This window comes from Homo sapiens, chromosome 12, assembly GCF_000001405.40.
Source record: "Homo sapiens chromosome 12, GRCh38.p14 Primary Assembly".
Lineage (NCBI taxonomy): Eukaryota > Metazoa > Chordata > Mammalia > Primates > Hominidae > Homo > Homo sapiens.
In genome coordinates, this window is record NC_000012.12 from 39,764,272 (window position 1) to 39,782,492 (window position 18,221).

General features: G+C 39.0%; 2 protein-coding genes across 7 annotated transcripts in view; one reads left to right on the forward strand and one right to left on the reverse strand.

The window, feature by feature from the left end:
• The window catches only part of REDIC1 (regulator of DNA class I crossover intermediates 1), a 282,118-nt gene that overhangs the window by 138,089 nt on the left and 125,808 nt on the right, over positions 1-18,221 (forward strand). Inside the window, exon 16 of the transcript NR_135051.2 lies at positions 469-538. The gene's annotated coding sequence lies outside the window, so the exon portion shown is untranslated. The remainder of the gene's footprint in view (positions 1-468; positions 539-18,221) is intronic.
• Positions 1-18,221, reverse strand: part of SLC2A13 (solute carrier family 2 member 13) — a 351,057-nt gene that overhangs the window by 9,247 nt on the left and 323,589 nt on the right. For 5 of the 6 annotated variants that reach the window (XM_011537847.3, NM_052885.4, XM_017018765.2 and 2 more), the window contains 2 exons: positions 466-587; positions 189-341 (listed from right to left, as the gene is read on the reverse strand). In XM_011537847.3, the coding sequence (XP_011536149.1) occupies positions 189-341; positions 466-587 (275 nt within the window). Of the gene's footprint in view, positions 1-188; positions 342-465; positions 588-18,221 lie in introns of those variants that run through there. The other variant, XM_047428235.1, reaches the window with a different exon arrangement.

An 18,221-nucleotide genomic window follows, 5' to 3' on the forward strand; every position in this document is an offset into this window, starting at 1 on the left:
GATAGGAGAATCCCTCTCTTCTTTCCCAGACACATTTCCGATGCCTTTGGAGGACAAGAAAGCCACATGGAGATACTTATAACAGCAAAATATAACCACATAGTCTCAATCACAAATGATATTATAGTGTATCTAAAAATAGTGATAAAAATAAAAACAAAACTATGTTAGAAAAAATATTATCTTACCATAGTATGTAAGATACTCTGCTGTGTGTAAAAATGTTAGTGAAACCAGGACATTGAAAATCCAGTTTATTCCAGATGAACATGCATTTCCTGTACTTCTTGCCCAAAGGGGATATATTTCAGAATTCACAGTCCAAGGCATTGGTCCCATTCCTGAGAAATAAAACATTAAAAACTTTAGTAAAATAGCATGTAAGAAATTTGAAAAATTATAGTTTATCTACTCCAAAAAGAGGCAATTCAATTAATGCAACAGTATAACAAAGTCTTTGTTTACCAGGTGCAAAGAAGACAAGATATAAAATAAGGCCCAGAAGTGCAGTCCAGGAGTATGGAGTAGGGCAGAAATTGTAAGCCCAAAATATATCTTCTGTTTTGAACTTGGTTTCATTTTCACACCTGAAAAATAATGCAATATAAGTATTAACTTAATGTTTTTGACTACAGTTGCAGAAATTCAATATGATCATATTTATGTATTTGGAAATTCCTTAATGTCTTAAGAGTCCAAAATGTTTTTCTTAAAAAATAAGAACTAAATATACAGTATTAGATATGCGAGCTTGTATAGCAATTTTACAGCCAAGTATAATTCAAGAGCAAAACAAAGACACCGTGTTTTATAACCATTTCACATAAATTAGACATGATTTCTAATTAGTCCCTGGAAGCTGCAGTAACACTTCAGTACCACTGAGAGTCAGTATGTGGCAGTGAAAAGACCATGGCATTTGCAATCATGACAAGATTCAAATTTCAGAGCCAGATACTTTTCATCTGATAAAATGGGGATAATACTTTGTAGACTATTTTAAGGATTAGAAGAGTAACCTGTAAAGGGTGATGGGGTGGATGAGGGAAACAAATGATTCTATCTGATTCCAAATAGCCCTCTCCCTTTCTGCTCCGTGTCCTTGCTTCTCTACCAGTCACTCCCTGATGACCTTGCCTTCTTAATCCATAGTAAAGCAAAGGGTCCTACAGTTTAGATCCATTCTGAAGTTGAACTTCCAGTTCTTTACCTTAATTGCCCCTGAAGATATTACCAGACTCAAAAACATTCCTATCCCCTATTGTCAATTTAGAGTATTGTTCTGTCTCCTTCAACCTCTATCTTTGAACCTTGTCATCCAAGCCCTATTGTTACCATATTTATGAACTCATCATAACATTCCACCTGTCTTGATGATTTGGGTGCCTGCTCAGTCTACCTCCTCTCATCCCCTGCCACATTCATTTATTTTTAATTCATTGGCCTCATTTAAAAAAATTATTTTATTTAAGTTCCAGGACACATGCACAGGATGTGCAGGTTTGTTACATAGGTAAATGCGTGCTGTAGTGGTTTGCTGTGCCTATCAACCCATCACCTAGGTATTAAGCCCCATGTGCATTAGCTATTTATCCTGATGCTCTCCCTCCTCCCAGCCCCCACAGGCCCTAGTGTGCATTGTTTCCTTCTCTGTGTCCATGTGTTCTCATTGTTCAGCTCCCAATTATATGTGAAAACACGCAGTGTGTGGTTTTCTGTGCTCCGTATAATGCATTGGCCTCATAGTTCCTTATTTAATCTCCAACACTACAGAGACAGCACTTTATAGTTTCCTTGATTTGGAACTATTTTACTTCAGACTTTGAGCCTTCCTTTTCTGATCACAACCACCACTTTGTTTATCTCCTCATTTCTGATCATCTGTGCTACACCCAGATCTGCCTTTGGATTATCCTTTCAGTATTCGTTTACCTCACTGCTCAGCTTAGACCACGCCAATACAGGCATAGCTTGGAGATATTGCGAGGTCAGTTCCAGACCACTGCAATAAAGTGGGTCACACGGATTTTTTGGTTTCCCACTACATATAAAAGTTATGTTCCCATGAAAGTGCAGTCTATTAAGTGTTCAATAACATTGTCTAAAAATGTACAAACCTTAATTTTAAAATATTTTGATAAAAAATGCTAACGATCATCTGCACCTTTCACAAGTCATCATCTTTTTGGTGGAGGGTCTTGCCTCAATGTTGAGGGCTGCTGACTGATTAGGGTAGTAGTTGCTGAAGGCTGGGGTGGCTGTGGCAATTTCTCAAAATAAGACAACTGGGAAGTTTGCAAAATTGACTGACTTTTCCCTTCACTAAATATTTCTCTGTAGCATGCATTTTACCCAGATAACTTCTTTCAAAATTGGAGTCAATCCTCTCAAACTCTGCTACTGCTTTGTCAACTAAGTTCGTGTGATACTGTAAATCCTTTGATATCATTTCAACAATGTTCATAGCACTTTCACCAGGAGTAGATTCCATCTCAGAAACTACTTTCTTTGTTCCTCCTTAAGAAACAACTCCTTATCCGTTCAAGTTTTATCATGAGATTGCAGCAATTCAGTCACATCTTTAGGCTTCGCTTCTACAATAGTTCTCTTGCTGTTTTCCACTATATCTGAAGTTACTTTCTCCCCTAAAGTCTTCAGCCCTTTAAAGTCATCCATAAAGGTTGGAACAACTTCTTGCAAACTTCCAAACTGTTCATTTGGTATTTTGACCTCCTCCCATGAATCACGAATGTTTTTAATAGCATCCAGAATAGTGAATCCTTTCCAGAAGATTTTCACTTTACTTGGCCCAGATCCATCTGAGAAATCACTATCTATGGCAGCTATGGCCTTATGAAATGCATTTTTTAAATAATAAGACTTGAAAGTTGAAGTGACTCCTTGATCCATGGGCTGCAGAATGGATGCTGTGTTAGCAGGTATGAAAACAACATTCATCTTGTACATCTCCATCAGAGCCCTTGAGTGACCAGTGTCATTGTCAATCAGCAGTAATATTTTGAAAGGAATCTTTTTTTTCTTTTCCTGAGCAGTAGGTCTCCATAGTGGCTTAAAATATTCTCCAAACTATGCTGTAAATATAAGTGCTGTCGTCCAGGTTTTTTTGTTTCGTTTTAGAGCACAGGCTGAATAGATTTAGCCCTTCTTAAGGGCTCTAGGATTTTTGGAGCGGCAAATGAGCATTGGCTTCAACTTAAAAGTCACCAGCTGCATTATCTCCTAACAAGAGACCCAGCCTGTCCTTTGAAGCTAGACATTGACTTCTCCTCTCTAGCTATGAGAGTCCTGGATGGTATCTTCTTCCAACAGAAGGCAGTTTCATCTACATTGAAAAATCTGTTGTTTAGTATAGCCACCTGATATGGTTTAGCTGTGTCTTCACCCAAATCTCATTTTGAATTGTAGTTCCCATAGTCTCCACGTTGTGGGAGAAACCCAGTGGGAGGTAATTGAATCACGGGGGTGGTTACCCTCATGCTGTTCTCATGATTGTGAGTGAGTTCTCATGAGATCTGAAGGTTTTATAATGGGCTTTTCCCCTTTTTACTTGGCACTTCTCCTTCCTGTCGCCATGTGAAGAGGACATGTTTGCTTCCCCTTCCTCCATGATTGTAAGTTTTCTGAGGCTTCCCCAGCCCTGCAGAACTGTGAGTCAATTAAATCTCTTTCCTTTATAAACTACCCAGTCTCAGGCAGTTATTTATAGCAGTGTGAGACCAGACTAATACATCACCTTTATTAGTTATCTTAGGTAGATGTTCTGGATAACTTGACGCAGCTTCTCCATCAGCACTTGCTGCCTCACCTTGCAACAAGGTGTGAAGTGAAAACAGCTTCTTTCCTTAAACCTCATGAACCAACCTCTGCTAGCCTCAAACTTTTCTTCTACAGCTTCCTCACCTCTCTCAGCCTTCATAGAATTAAATGGAATTAGAGACTTATTCTGGATTAGGCTTGTGCTTAAGGGAATGTTGTGGCTGGTTTGATCGTCTATCCAGACCACTCAAACTTTCTTCATATCGGCAATAAGGCTGTTTCACTTTCTTATCATTTGTGTGTTCACTGGAGTGGCACTTTTAATATCCTTTAAGAATTTTCTTTTGTAGTCACAATTTGGCTATTTGGTGCAAGAGGCCTAGCTTTCAGCCTATCTCAGCTTTCAATATGCCTTCCTCATTAAGCTCAATTATTTCTAGCTTTTGATTTAAAGTGAGAGTCGTGCTACTATTCCTATCACTTGAACATTTAGAGGCCATTGTAGAGTTATTAACTGTAGTGTCTTAGGGAATAGAGAGGCTCCAGGAGAGGGAGACAAAGAAGGAAACAGCTGGTTGGTGGAGTGGTCAGAACACACACAACATTTATAATTAAGTTTGACGTCTTATACGGGTGCAGTTTGTGATGCCCGACAACAATTACAATAGTAACATTAAAGATCACTGATCATCATAGCAGATATGATAATGAAAAAGTCTGAAATAATGTGAGAATTACCAAAATGTGACATAAAGACACTAAATGAGCACATACTATTGGAAATATGGTGACAATAGACTGGCTTGATGCAGGGCTGCCAGAAACCTTCGGTTTGTAAAACAAAATGCAATGTCTGTGAAGTGCAATGATGGCAAACACAATAAAATGAAGTATATACTGTCTTCACTAGCCTCTAGAATCCATTCTTCCTCTATTTTTGTCTGCCATTTTTCACCATTTGAGTTCCCAACCCGGTGTGGCTTATTAACTTCTTTCAACAACCACTTCTCAGAAACTGAGCAGTGTTATGAAACCATGCTGTTGGGCTGTATTAAAAGTTCATGCCATTTTATCTCAGTTGGTTCCCTAATGATGCTTATTTTATCCTTTATTGTCTTCTCTACTGAATTATCTGCTTATCTAAGAGTAGACATTCCATAAACTTTTGTCAACTATTGCCTCAATTAATTAAAATATTTCTTACTATCTTGTAATCCTGAAATCTTTCCTTCTGTTTCCTATGTGACGAACTTACCTCCTTTTTTTGGAAGATTTATCAATTTCAGTTGAGAAAAATAAAATAAAACCAGGAATTTGGAGATGCTTTGTAGGACTTGATACATTTGAATCTGAAGAACAGATCTTTTAACAACTGGAATTCTTTTAAAAGAATTGAAGATCATTACTTTGAACATCAATTTTTCTCTATCAGCTTCTACTTTTCTATATTTTTCTCTCAATATTTGAGAAAAGAAAGTTTTTTAAAAAACATTGTAGGGTGTAGGCTTCCTTCCTCCCTCCGGTGGTACAAGTCTGTCACCCTTTCTGAGGACTGCCCTTCTTATCAGTGTTCTTGCATCTCATTCTCCTGCCTCCTCTGGGGTCACGTTCCATCAATATCTCTTCTTTTCCTGCCCTATTTAGTTTCATCCTACTTGAGCCTTCCCTTCTGTCTACAATACACAAGATCTCTCTTACTCAAATGTTCAACTCCTCTCATATTACCACAACTAGCTCTCCTGAAATACCAGAAGTTTATACTCACGAGCTCTACCTGACTACACAATCCTTCTTTCACAGCCCAACTCTCCCACCCTCCCAGATGCTGGCTAACTTTTATGTGGTCTTTTTCCTGGATGTGTTCAAACAAAAGTCATCAATTAGCTCCTAACATACAAATTCAGGTTTCTTGTCTTAATCTTGATGCTCTTTGATTACTCTGTGGTGCTTGACATTGCTGACAACTCTCCTTCCTTCTCTTCCCTCTTTGCTTTTATATCTGTATCTCCATTTTAGCTCTCTGACCTATATGTATTCATTGCTTTTTAAATTGCCTCTTCCTCTTCTCAACCTCTAAATATAGGTGTCCTCTAAGGTTCTATTTTGGGACCTATACCCTCTCTCATAATCATCTCATCTAATTTTAGGACTTTATAATTTCCATGTGGATGCTCCTCAATAGTTTATTCTGGCCTTGATCTTTCTTCCAAGTTCCACTGATGGAATTTAGGTACCTAAGTACCTAAAATAGCAGAGTTGCTATGAACATCTAGATCCTGCCATGGCCTCAAATGCAATATGACTACAACGAAATGACCTCTCCAGAAGGCAGCATGGGGCTGCTCTGAGTTCAAATCGTGACTCTACCACTTAATAGCCATATTCATTCAAAAGCTTATATAATGAGCACTTTTTATGCATCAGACATTAGCAATAACAGTTATGAACAAAATACCAACCAGTGCATTTGTAGAACCTTGAGTTTAGCGGGCACTGGCATGGTCCTGTTTCCTGATCTGTGAGATCGGGGAAAGAACTGTATCATGGGCTGTTGGGAACATTAAATATTCCCATCTGGATAAGCATAGAGCATCTGCACACTCAATGCTTAGCATACTGCCTGGCATGTGGTATATGCATAGCATAAGTATTACTTTACTAGTGCCCCTCATGACATTTCTATTTTAGTTAACACCACCTTACCCTAAATTGGAATGGTTTAAAATCTTGCAGTTATTTTCATTTTCCTCTTATCCACTTCTCTTAGGTCCTTTATACTTTTAAGTCCAAGTAAAGAAAAGTGGCCAAGACTAGGAGCTTTGGTATTGACATCCTAGGTTCAGATCTAGGCTGGGACACCCAGGTAAAGTTAGGATATATGTGGCCTCTAGGTGTAATATCTCAAAGCTGTGTCATCATCTGTGAAATAAGGATTTTCCTGGTACCTACCTCAAAAGGCTATTTTGATGCTTATGTTAGAGAACGTACACAAAGAATTTCACATGATATAGGCAAGAAACCATATTTCCTAGACATAATTTCTTGAATCTGACTTTTCTATTTGCATTAACACCATCCTAATTTAGACTCCGAGTGTGTGTCCCATCACCTGCCTCTGCCTCTGCGGGAGAGAGACTCTAGAGTAACCCTGATGGTTCCTATTTTCTGATTTTCATGCCTTGTGTAGTTCCTTTTTCTGGAGTGTGGGAGTGACCTTGGATTTGCTTCCGACCAACAGAATATGGCAAAAGTGACAGGACATATGTGATTAAGTAAGTAAGATTCCAGTGCTGTTGAGCTGAAGTCTCTCATTCCCTTGCTGGTTTTGGAGAAGCAAGTCGCCATGCTGTAGGATGCCTATGCTGGGAGATTTGTGGAAGGAACTGAGGGCAGCCTCTGTCCAACAGCAAGCAAGAAACTGAAGTCCTCAGCACAAAACCACAAATTACTGAATTCTGCTAACAAAAATGAATCCTTCTCCAGCTGAGCCTTAGAGGAAACCATAGCTCCAGTCTGTGCATTGATTGTAGGCTTGTGAGGCCCTAAGCAGAGGACACACCTAAGCTATGCCTGCATTCCTGACCCACAGGAAGTGCTATATTATTAATGTGTGTTGCAGTAGTAAATGAATACAGTTTCCTGATTTTCCTGCTCCTATCATTCCTTTCTTCAAACTCATATGCCACCAAGTTAAGCGCCCTGACCACCTCACTGCTCAAAAACCTCCATCCTCCTTATTCCAGCAGTCTACAAAATGGCCTGCAAAATGTGGCTGCAGCCTACCTTATCTTGTACTCCTGTACACAATCCTTTTATGCAACTAAACTAAATTACTTATTTTCTGAACCTACAGTCTAGACCCAGTATCTCCTACTCATGACGTTTCCTGTAACTGAAGGCAAACTCTTACTCTTGATATCTACTGTCAGTATCTACCATCAATTCCTACCTCATCACCCAAGGCCTGTGTGGATGCTACCCATTCACCTGTCCGAGATATTCTCTCCTCCTCTCAACTCCTTTTCACTTTCCTCATTTATGTCATTATCATATAGTGCTCTGTATGGTCATATATTAATATACTCCTTCTTCTACGGTACTGAGATTTCATCCCAGGGAGTACAGCATGGCACAAGGGTCAAGAGCACAGGGTCTAATGTCAGACTGCATGAGTTTGTATCTCAGTTCTCTCCCTTACCAGCTTTGTAACTTTGGCCAAGTTACTTAACCTCTCTGTGTCTCAATTTTCTTGTAAAATAAGAGTCCATATAGGGTTGTTACAAAGATTAAACAAGGTGATAACTGCTTGGCACATAGAAAGCAATTTATAAGGGCTTGCCAAAAGAATAATCACCGTGCTATTTTTTTTTTAAATCTCAACCTATTGTCCATCATAATACCCTATGTAGAGATAAATGTTCCTTGAATGATGAAGCTTTTACATTTGCATTTGTTTAATTGTGAGTAGAAAACAGCATTAGATGTCCCTTGACCAATAATCCCCAGCAATGAAATAGTCTTTTGAGTCATGAAGATTTAAGAAAATAGGAAAGGAAAGAAAAAAGAGAAGAAGAAAGAAAAAAGAAAGGCAGGCAGGTAGGCAGGCTCCTGTAAGGAGGAATACTTACAAATAATGAAATAACTAAGATTCACTGAACAATTTTCTATTTACTCTTTTCGTTATTATCACAGTTCCTAGGGTGATCTCCTGCTGTGGCAATGAAGTAGGATACTTTAGAGTGGACTCTGTGCTTGCCCTGATGAAGCTTTTTGCCATCTGGCTATGCACGTTTACATGTGCAAAAAAAAGGCCAAGTAGCTCCTCATCATCCTCATGCTGATTTTGGGAAGGCACTGCAGGCACTAACTTGGCAGAGTTACATACTCAGCAATACGTAGATAGCTAATGACTGAGAATGTGACATCACACCTGACCTTCAAAATATAAACACTAGAAATACCAACTAAAAAATAAAAATGCAGATTTCAAACATTATTGCAAAATATCCTCATGCTTTCCTGGCAACTGCTGGTAGAAGAACATAATGCTCCCGAAAAGGAACAAAAATACTTTGACATCAGTGTGTGGGCTGGGATTAGAAAAAGTCATGCTCTTGGATGTGGCACCTTTTCACCACATCCTAGAGCAAAACCTGAAAATGACTGCAATAATGGGAAGCTGCTCAGAGGGCACTGCAGTGGACAAAGCAGCAGAATTGCATGCAATCAGGTGAAATATGTCTCATTTTGGCTGAGTGAGAGAACTAATCCTTACCAGCAGAATGACTAGGCTAAAACCTGATATACAGACCAAATAAATAATCGGTTCCCTGTTCCAATCATGGAATACACAGAACTCCCTTTAGTAATAACATGTAGAAATTAACAGCTCCCTTTGAAGGTGGAACAATGCTCCCCTGCCCACTCAACACCCACCAAACCTAGTTCATACGTAGATCTATTTCTGCCTTTTAAAATGTTACCTCTCCATCATTTATCTTTAGAGTTTCAAACCTAAGAAATAACCAAAGGAACTTAAGCAGTGCAAATATACAACTGTTCTTGCTAGTTAGCCATAAGTAGTATATTCCTTGCTTCCTACACAGCACATGCTGTCTATATTGCCCCTTTATTCTCCATGATGAAATAATTTGACTGCTCCAGGCTTATATATGGGAGTAGAGGAAAAGAAATATGACCTGTGTATAAAAACCAAAACTTCCAACTTCATATATTGAGTCCTAATCACTGATAAATGTATGAAACTTAGTTCCCTTCCCAAAGAGTTTATAAAAGATCCAGAATTTTAGAAAAGGGGAGAGCTTACTACAGTTCGTGTGACACATCTACCATCGTTCTACTGGGCTTACTGCACAAGCTTGCTAATTCATTACTGAGGAGTGTCAGTGAAGCACGATTTTATTTCCAGTTCCTGACGCAGGACTGTGATTTTTCTGGACAAGGTCCCTAAGCTATCACCTCAAAACATAGATATCCCTCTAAAAGTTAACCCTAATAGTTCTTTGTTGATAGAAAGTTAACCCTAATAGTTCTTTATTGATAGAAATTTATGATATAATTACACCATTACAATTTGAGGGTAGTGGTGAAAACGTACCTAGGAAAGCACAGAGTATCTCTCCAGGATAGGACACCTTCACTCTTATCTGAGGAGAACTAAAGAAGCAAAATCCTAATTCCCAACCAGAGATTTAGGATGGTGTAAATTTACTCTAAGCAACCCAAGTTATAAGAAATTCTAACTTCCGGGCATCCCTTCAAAGCAACCATGAAAAGTTACTGTTACAAACTTGGCCCATTACTTCTCAGATACTTTTAATTATTGTTCAGTAGGCATATTTCCTATTTAATAATCTAAAATGAAATAAACTTATGTCAAGGGTGGCCACATAGCATTTAAACTCTAATAACATCTCTGTGATTTTGAATAATTTTAGAAAAGTATGGTTTCCTAGCTTGCAGTGTGGAGACCATGTTGAAAATCCTGCCCTTGAATGATTTCCCATTGTCCAGCCTTTTTTTTTTTTTTTTGGTTTTGTAATTTTCCTGCAGAAGATTGTCATTTACAGACAAGATGAAAAACCTATTCTTTTGTTAATTACTATTATTTTCTAATAAAAAAGTCTTTATTGAGACAATTAAATCATAGATATGGGTAAATTTCAAAAGCCTTAGAAATTTGGAGCAAAAAGCCACTTTTTTCCTGAATAAAATATTATTTATCTATAAATCATTGCATCTAAACTCCTTATCGGTATATTGACTACCTTATATACCCCAAGTATGCAAAATAGATGGATGGAGTATGGACAGATGCAAATTAAAACAATGATAACATTTAAAGGTGATGAGACTATAGCAATAGTGGTACAGTCTCTAATTCTGGTAACAATTTAAATTGATATAATTTCCTTTTGGAAAGAAATTTGGCAATTTGAACATTAGAATATTCATCCCCTCTGTCTCAGTCTGATATCTAAAGTGTATCCTTAGGAAACCACTTAAATGGGAAATTATATGCTTCAAGATGTACTTTTCTCTGTGCTTTCATTTATCACAAGATTAACATAGATAGAGAATTAGAAACCATAAAAGTCTCCCACAATGGAAGGGTAGTTAATGCAATTAAGGTACAACTGAATAAAAAAGCAGCCATTAAAATAATCATTTTAAAGTAAATTGGGCCACAAAGGTTGGTCTGGATAGAAGACTGGTGAAAATGAAGTCTTAGGTAACGTAAGTTACTTTCATTTTGGCACCAAACTGGCCAACAAGCAAGGCAATAGGTGTATGCAAAATCCAGGACATGAGGATGTGGATGTGGCCTACTTCTGCCTCTCCAGTTCCTCCTGTATTCCTGAAGTTCTCTGGTCATTGTGAAGTTAACAGGCTACGGGCTCAGAGGAGCCCTGAACTCTGCCTTGGGGAGGGTCCACGTTAGCATTTGAGTGGTCTAAGAAAATGTTTAGACTCTATTAATTCATAAGAAAATACTTTGAAGTTCTTTCTCTTATTCCATTATCACATCCAAAGCAAGCCTGGCCATGGCCTACTTCATAAAGTCTACCTGGAAACAAACAAGATGTCACAAAGTTGGAGTGGGTAAGATATCAAACTACAAATACTGCCAGAGAATAAGTTATATGGATAAGAGTGACTGGAAATATAAAAAATTAGGGGAGGAGAAGGTAATTTATTACTTAATGATTGTTTTCATGGTTGAACTTATACAGGTTGTGTATCCCTTATTCAAAATACTTGAGACCAGAAGTGTTTCAGATTTCAGATTTTGGAATATTTTCATTATGCTTACTGGTTGAGCACCCCTAATCTGAAATCCAAAATGCTCCAATGAGCGTTTCCTTTGAGCATCATGTCAGCACTCAAAAAGCTTGGAATTTTGGAGCATTTTGGATTTTAGATTTTTGGATCAGGAATACTGAAACTGTAGTTGTGACAGTATTAATTTGAGAAGATGGGAGAAAGTTTAGTGACTCATAGACAGCTAATCTGGGGCTTCTTCTTCCATATTGCTGTTCCCCCCTACAATTTTTCCCATAATACAGTCAGGCATTACAGTTATTAGCCCTTCTCCTGCTTCAACTGGCACTGAAAGGAAGGGAATTATGCATCTTCTCCATTGTGCGGTTCCTTCATATTGACCAAAGGCCTCAAAATGCTGGTTTCCATATTTATACTACACACTGCTTCCCCGCTTAGGAGCTGTGGGGCCCACCTCTGCCGACAGCTGAGTGGTCCCCCTCGCCACCAAGCACAAGTGGTAGTGCTCCCCTGCAAAACCTGCCTGCCTGGCCATAACTATGTGTGGCATAAAGGCCACCAACAGCCTGCCCAGTGCCCTAGGAAGCGGCTTGGCAAGGGGTGGGTGCTGTATACCAGAGAATGATGTGGCATATGGTTTATATTCTCTGAGAAGTCAGAATATGAAATATTGAAAGAGGATAGAGTGACACAGAAGTTGAATGACAGAGAAGCCTGTAGGCAGAGGCCATACTGCAATAGAAGCCATGAGGTAAAGAAGGGTCACGGAGTTGACAGTGATGGAGAAGAGTATAGAAGAGAAACCAAACACAGACTGCTGCCAGTCTGCTGAGCAGTATTCTAGATTTCCATGAGGTAGGGATGGGTGGAGTTGAGACATTTTTCTTTCTTTTTTTTAACTTTCCTATGCACCTATATTGTAAAACTTTCATTAACTGAGGAAATCAAGCATGTCTCTTTTCTGCTTAACATGAAAAGTTATAACAAAGTGATGGCTAGGTTCTAAGACAGTACTGATCCTGATTTTGAATTAATAAAACCCCACAGGTTTTTCTATGTTGGCAACACAACTCCATTCCTATGGGTTTTTTCTTTTTCAATTTTTTATAGACATGGCATAAAAAATTAAGATGGCTTTTCCCCATATAGTTGCTATGGGAGGTAATATATTAATACTTATTCCAACTATGCTGTACTATACTGCTCATATTTTCTGGAATTCCTTTTGGAATCATATTCGGAATCTGCGTCCTTGTCACTCAAGAAAAAACAAACTTAGTTTTTCATATTGTACTTATGGTTCACTTTCCTTTCTTCCCGCTTCCTTTTATTTCTTGCCATAATGAGCCAATCATATGAGGGACTTTGGGTGAAAAGAAGAGACCGGACTAAACTGAGTAAAGGCAGGGAAATAGTCAATTGAAATAATAGCAACAAACTCAGGATAAGTTCATTTGTATGTTTTGACTCCAGAGTTATGATAAATAAAATGAGTTTATTTAGATGAAGGTCATCAAATTAAAATTATAGAAATCTACAGCAGAGAAGTGATACAGAAGGGAAGTGCTGGGAAGGGAAAAGCATGGTCCCTTTAAATGATATGGAAGGGAAGTGCTAGGTAGAGGAGGGCGTGGTCCCTGACTAGGGCTCCACCCAGGGCCCGGGCCCATGGACATAGGTGAGGACAGGCATTTTTGTTTTCCTGCACAAATGTTGCACTTCCCAAGACCACCCTGGCCTGCCACGCCCCCATCCTGTGCCTATAAAAACCCCGAGACCCTAGCAGGGAGACACACAGGTGGCTGGATGTCGAGAGAAGCACATCAATGGAGGCACACACAGGTGGCTGGCCGTCGAGAGGAACGCACCAACAGGCATCGGCATGCCAGCAGGCCACTGAGTGGCAGAATGACATGGAGTTTGGCTGGGGCAGTCGGATGAGAGCCCAGTCCACTGAGTAAATAAAACCTGCTCAATAAAACCTTGCACTCATTCTCCAAGTCCACGTGTGATCTGATTCTTCTGGTACACAGAGGCAAGATCCCTAGGATACAGAAAGCCCTCTGTCCCTGCAGTAAGGCAGGGGTCTAATTGAGCTGACTAACACGAGCTACCTATGGATGGCTAAACTAAAAGAGCACCCTGTAACACACGCCCACTGGGGCTTCAGCTGTAAACATTCACCCCTAGACACTGCCATGGGGTTGGAGTCCCACAGCCTGCCCATCTGTATGCTCCCCTAGAGGTTTGAGCAGCAGGGCGGTGAAGAAGTGAGCCACACCCCCATCACACACCCTGCGAGGGGGACAAGAGACCCTTTCCCATTTCAGAAGGACATTTGAGAACACTGCATCCAACGTACTCATTTTATAGAGGGCACAAATCAAGTCCAGTGAGGCTGAATGTTTGTCAAAGTCTCAGAGCAAAACTGTAAGCAAAACCAGTTTTCAGTAGCACCCTGCCCATGTGCCACCTAGCTGAGGGGCTAGTAGCCACTGAGATCCAACTTATTGCCAGCTCTTGGGGGCCAGCTGTAGGGATGACTCTTCCTGGGGGAAAGTGTCTCATATTCTAGTTGTCACAAAGGCATATATCACAGGGACGAAGTTAGTTATTTCTTTGGAACAGACTCATGTGAGGGCCACTCATAACCCGGTTCCAAAGAAATAACTTTATCTCTTGATAAGTTATATTATTAATTTTATTTATTTTGTGTTATTTTGGTTTAAAAATGGTTTTATCATTAAATAGTTATTATTAACGTATTATTACATTAAATTATTAAATCAGTGGCAACCAGTAAAATAGACTCTATTGAACTCATTGTCTTTTCGTCATTCATTTCTTCACTCATTTATTTGACACATGAGTATACATACATTGCCCCAGGTGTTGGACATCCTTTGAGATACCAAAACAAGTGGCTATCAACTTAAATACCAATGACTGAAAAACAGCAAGTCTGCAACACAAAACCATTTAGCAACATCTATAGGGGTATAGGAGGAGTTTAAGTTGGCAGGGCTTCCAGGAAAACTCTGTTTCTATCAGTTTGGGGGTTACTTTTTAGGTTAAGAGTTTAATAATGAGGAAGGGAAATATCTGAAAAACCACTAATTGCAGGGAAAAGAACTAACTAGGGAGTCAGAACCAGGACGTAGGTAATACATGCCTTTGTGACAACTAGAATATGAGACACTTTCCCCCAGGAAGAGTCATCCCTACAGCTGGCCCCAAGGGCTGGCATAAGTTGGATCTCAGTGGCTACTAGCCCCTGAGCTGGGTGGCCTATGGGCGGGGTGCAACTGAAGACTGGTTTTTCTTACAGTTTTGCTCTGAGACTTTGGCAAGCCATTCAACCTCACTGGACCTCATTTGAGTTATCCATAAAATGAGTATGTTGGATGCAGCATTCTCAAATGTCCTTCTGAAACGGGAAGGACTGCTTAACACTGCCATCTGATTGCAGCATCCTCCCCAAGTTCCAATTGAGAGAACTGATGTTTTTCTACACTTAAGCCTTCACTCTATTGCCTGAATTCTTCTATTTCCCTGGGTTTTTTGGGGGACTTTTATGACCCTCACTAGATAGTAAACTTCAGTGAGAACACCATACCTATTATCTTCCCTTTTCCTTCCCCAGGCGTCATAGGCCAGCACTTGGCACAACATTTTACACATAGTCAATAGCTCAATAAATGTAAATGTTAATTAAAAAAATTAAAACACTTTTTTTGCTTCCCATTAGGCTGATCTTTTGTCATCTGACAACAATTTCTTCACTACATTGTAAGCCTCAGAGAAGACATATATTTGCTGTTGAAATTTCTTGACCTCTAAGAAATCTATGTCTATTTAATTTAAAACGTGACTGTCTGTGATGGTAAAAGGAGAGACACATTTCTTTACCATAAGCATTGAAAAATCTATCTGTATCATCCTAAGCTTTAAAAATTTCAAACTACACCAGTATTCTGATTTTATTTTCTTTCCACTGCAAGAGTGCCTGCACAGTATCTCTGGCTCGTGTTTATCTGCAGGTGCCTGAGAATGAATGCAAGCTGATTTATCACTGTGGGCTATCGTGATGCAAACAATGGCATACTTTCTTTATTGGATTCTTTTCAATCCATTTTATAGCTGCTTTCCATCAAGTGTGAGTTCTGTGGCTTCTTTATGATAGTTGTGTTCCCAACAGGAATGTCCTTGAGTAGATGTAAATTCCTCATTTGATGAAATTGACTAACGTTTGTATAGAGACTTACCGTATACAAAACACCATTCGTATATATTACTTCATTTAAATCTGATGACAATTCAAAGCAATAGCATCATTATTCCCATTTTGCATATAAGTCTTTTTTAAATATAGTGACTTCCCCAAGATTACACAGTGACAGCAGTGTTTCAAATCCAGTATTCTCTGTCTCTTTCTCCTTCAACATAATCATCTTACCAGTTCAGATATATATATGGAAACCTCTCTTGAGGTGTCTTACTTTTTATGGAATTTGAATGGAAAAAGAGATGAAATGAAAACTGCTTGAAATCTCCCCTAAGTTAGCATTCTTTTTAATAACAGCAGTGAAGTAAGCCACTGAAATATCATCCAAAAATGAGTAGAATAAAATGCTTCTCAAAGAGCATTAGGAATTAAAATAAGCAGCATCTTGGCAGGTCTGCGCCTCTGTGTCCTGTATATTCTCTTTTGACTCAGTATCCATTTGGCCCCAAAAGCTCAAAACAATAATTAGAACAGAAAGGATGCCTGGATGAGCTAGAAGTTAAAATATCACATATCAATCTCAATGACTAAGTAACTCATTTGAGAGTAGTGATGTCAACACTACAAATGTATTACAAGGAGAACAGTCATTCTAATGCAATAAGATGGCAGTGTTAGGCAGTCTTTTAATAATACATACACGAAAACATGGAGCTACATAATGATTTTCTCTGATACAGTCATGACAGTAAGGAACTAAAAGAAATTTTTTAAAAAAACTTCCCCTAGAAGCTGCTTAGAGTATGAAAATACATGTGGAGTGTCTCAGCAATTATTTAAAATAGAACTTGTGCCATTAGTTACTGACATATAAGAGCTTTGTAAATAATGAGGAGATGGAAAGTCATTATCGTAAAACTATAAACTGTAAGGCAGTTTCACAATATTTCATCTCAAGTTACTGCTAAAGTGAAAACATAATAGCTTCACAGATTAAGCATTTTAACTGCAATTGCCTTTTTTTTACTCACTTCCTGATTTGTATAGAAAGTTCTGAAGCACCTTACTGATTATCAGCAATGAAACAAAACTGTAAAACTGAGAAAATCTATCTCAATCCTTCCAAATCAAAGATGAGTTTTCTACCAGTTCGGTGAGTGAATAGCTTAACAGGTCTATTAAAATTCACTCTATCCTCCCTTCTAATCTGTTCCTGGCACTGGCACAAAGAAAATCATGTCACACCTACTGTCACACCCAGTCTCCTAAAAAGAGCCCAGCTTCCCACTGAGGGAGCCCCGCACAGTCTGGCCTGCCCCCTCCAGCCTTCCACAGCACCTCCTCCACGTCACCTGCCATTGTCACCACTATGCCCCAGGGGCTAGTACAGTGACATGCACACAGTTGGGGCTCAATACATATTTGTTTAATGAAGGAATCATTTTCACCATTTCACAAATGTAACAAAATATTGTCTCACAGTTTTGAAGTTTCCTTATTTTCAAAGCGATTTTATGTAAGGAGAGAATGAATAAGTCATTCAATTTATCCCTTATTCTTGCTATGAATTTCCATATTATAGTCCAGAGCAACTTTGGAAGTTATATTTTAACAGCATAGTTATTTTCCAACACACACAAACACATAGACAAGCATACAACATAAAAGAGATATTAGTAGACATTTGTCGTGCTTCTCTTTAGAATGGGTGGAAAGGATCTGGTAGCAATGGACAAAAGTTAGTGGGTGGGCTCATATACGGCCCTCACATACCCTGGAGGAAGGGATTTAGGACATTTGCCTGTACTTGCAGAGGTGTCTAGGAGATCAGCTCTACCACCTGGTAATGAAGAATATTCTGAACAATGAAGCAATGGATAATCTTGAGTTATGGTTGTCTTGTGAATACAGGAACTGAAAATTACCCAACATCTAGGCTCTATCTTGGATTCTAGATGGGCTTGTACTTGGTGGGGTCGAGGTAATCATAGTATGGAACTATGCCTAGAAGTAAGACCAAATCTTAGGACATAAAGACAAAAATCTTAGGGGAAAGCATATTTTAACTTAAGGAAGTCTTGCTATGCTTTTATTACAAAGTAAGAGGCAGTCTGCTGTTAAGAAACCTTTGTGTTTACCTTGTGTAGAAGTTTCCCCAGTAACATGGTTTGGCTGTGTCCCCACTCAAATCTCAATTTGAATTGTATCTCTCAGAATTCCTACGTGTTGTGGAAGGTACCCAGGGGGAGCTAATTGAATCATGGGGGCGGCCGGTCTTTTCTATGCTATTCTTGTAATAGTGAGTAAGTGTCACGAAATCTGATGGGTTTGTCAGGGGTTTCTCCTTTTGCTTCCTCCTCATTTTTCTCTTGCCGCCACCACGTAAGATGTGCCCTTTGCCTCTCACCATGATTCT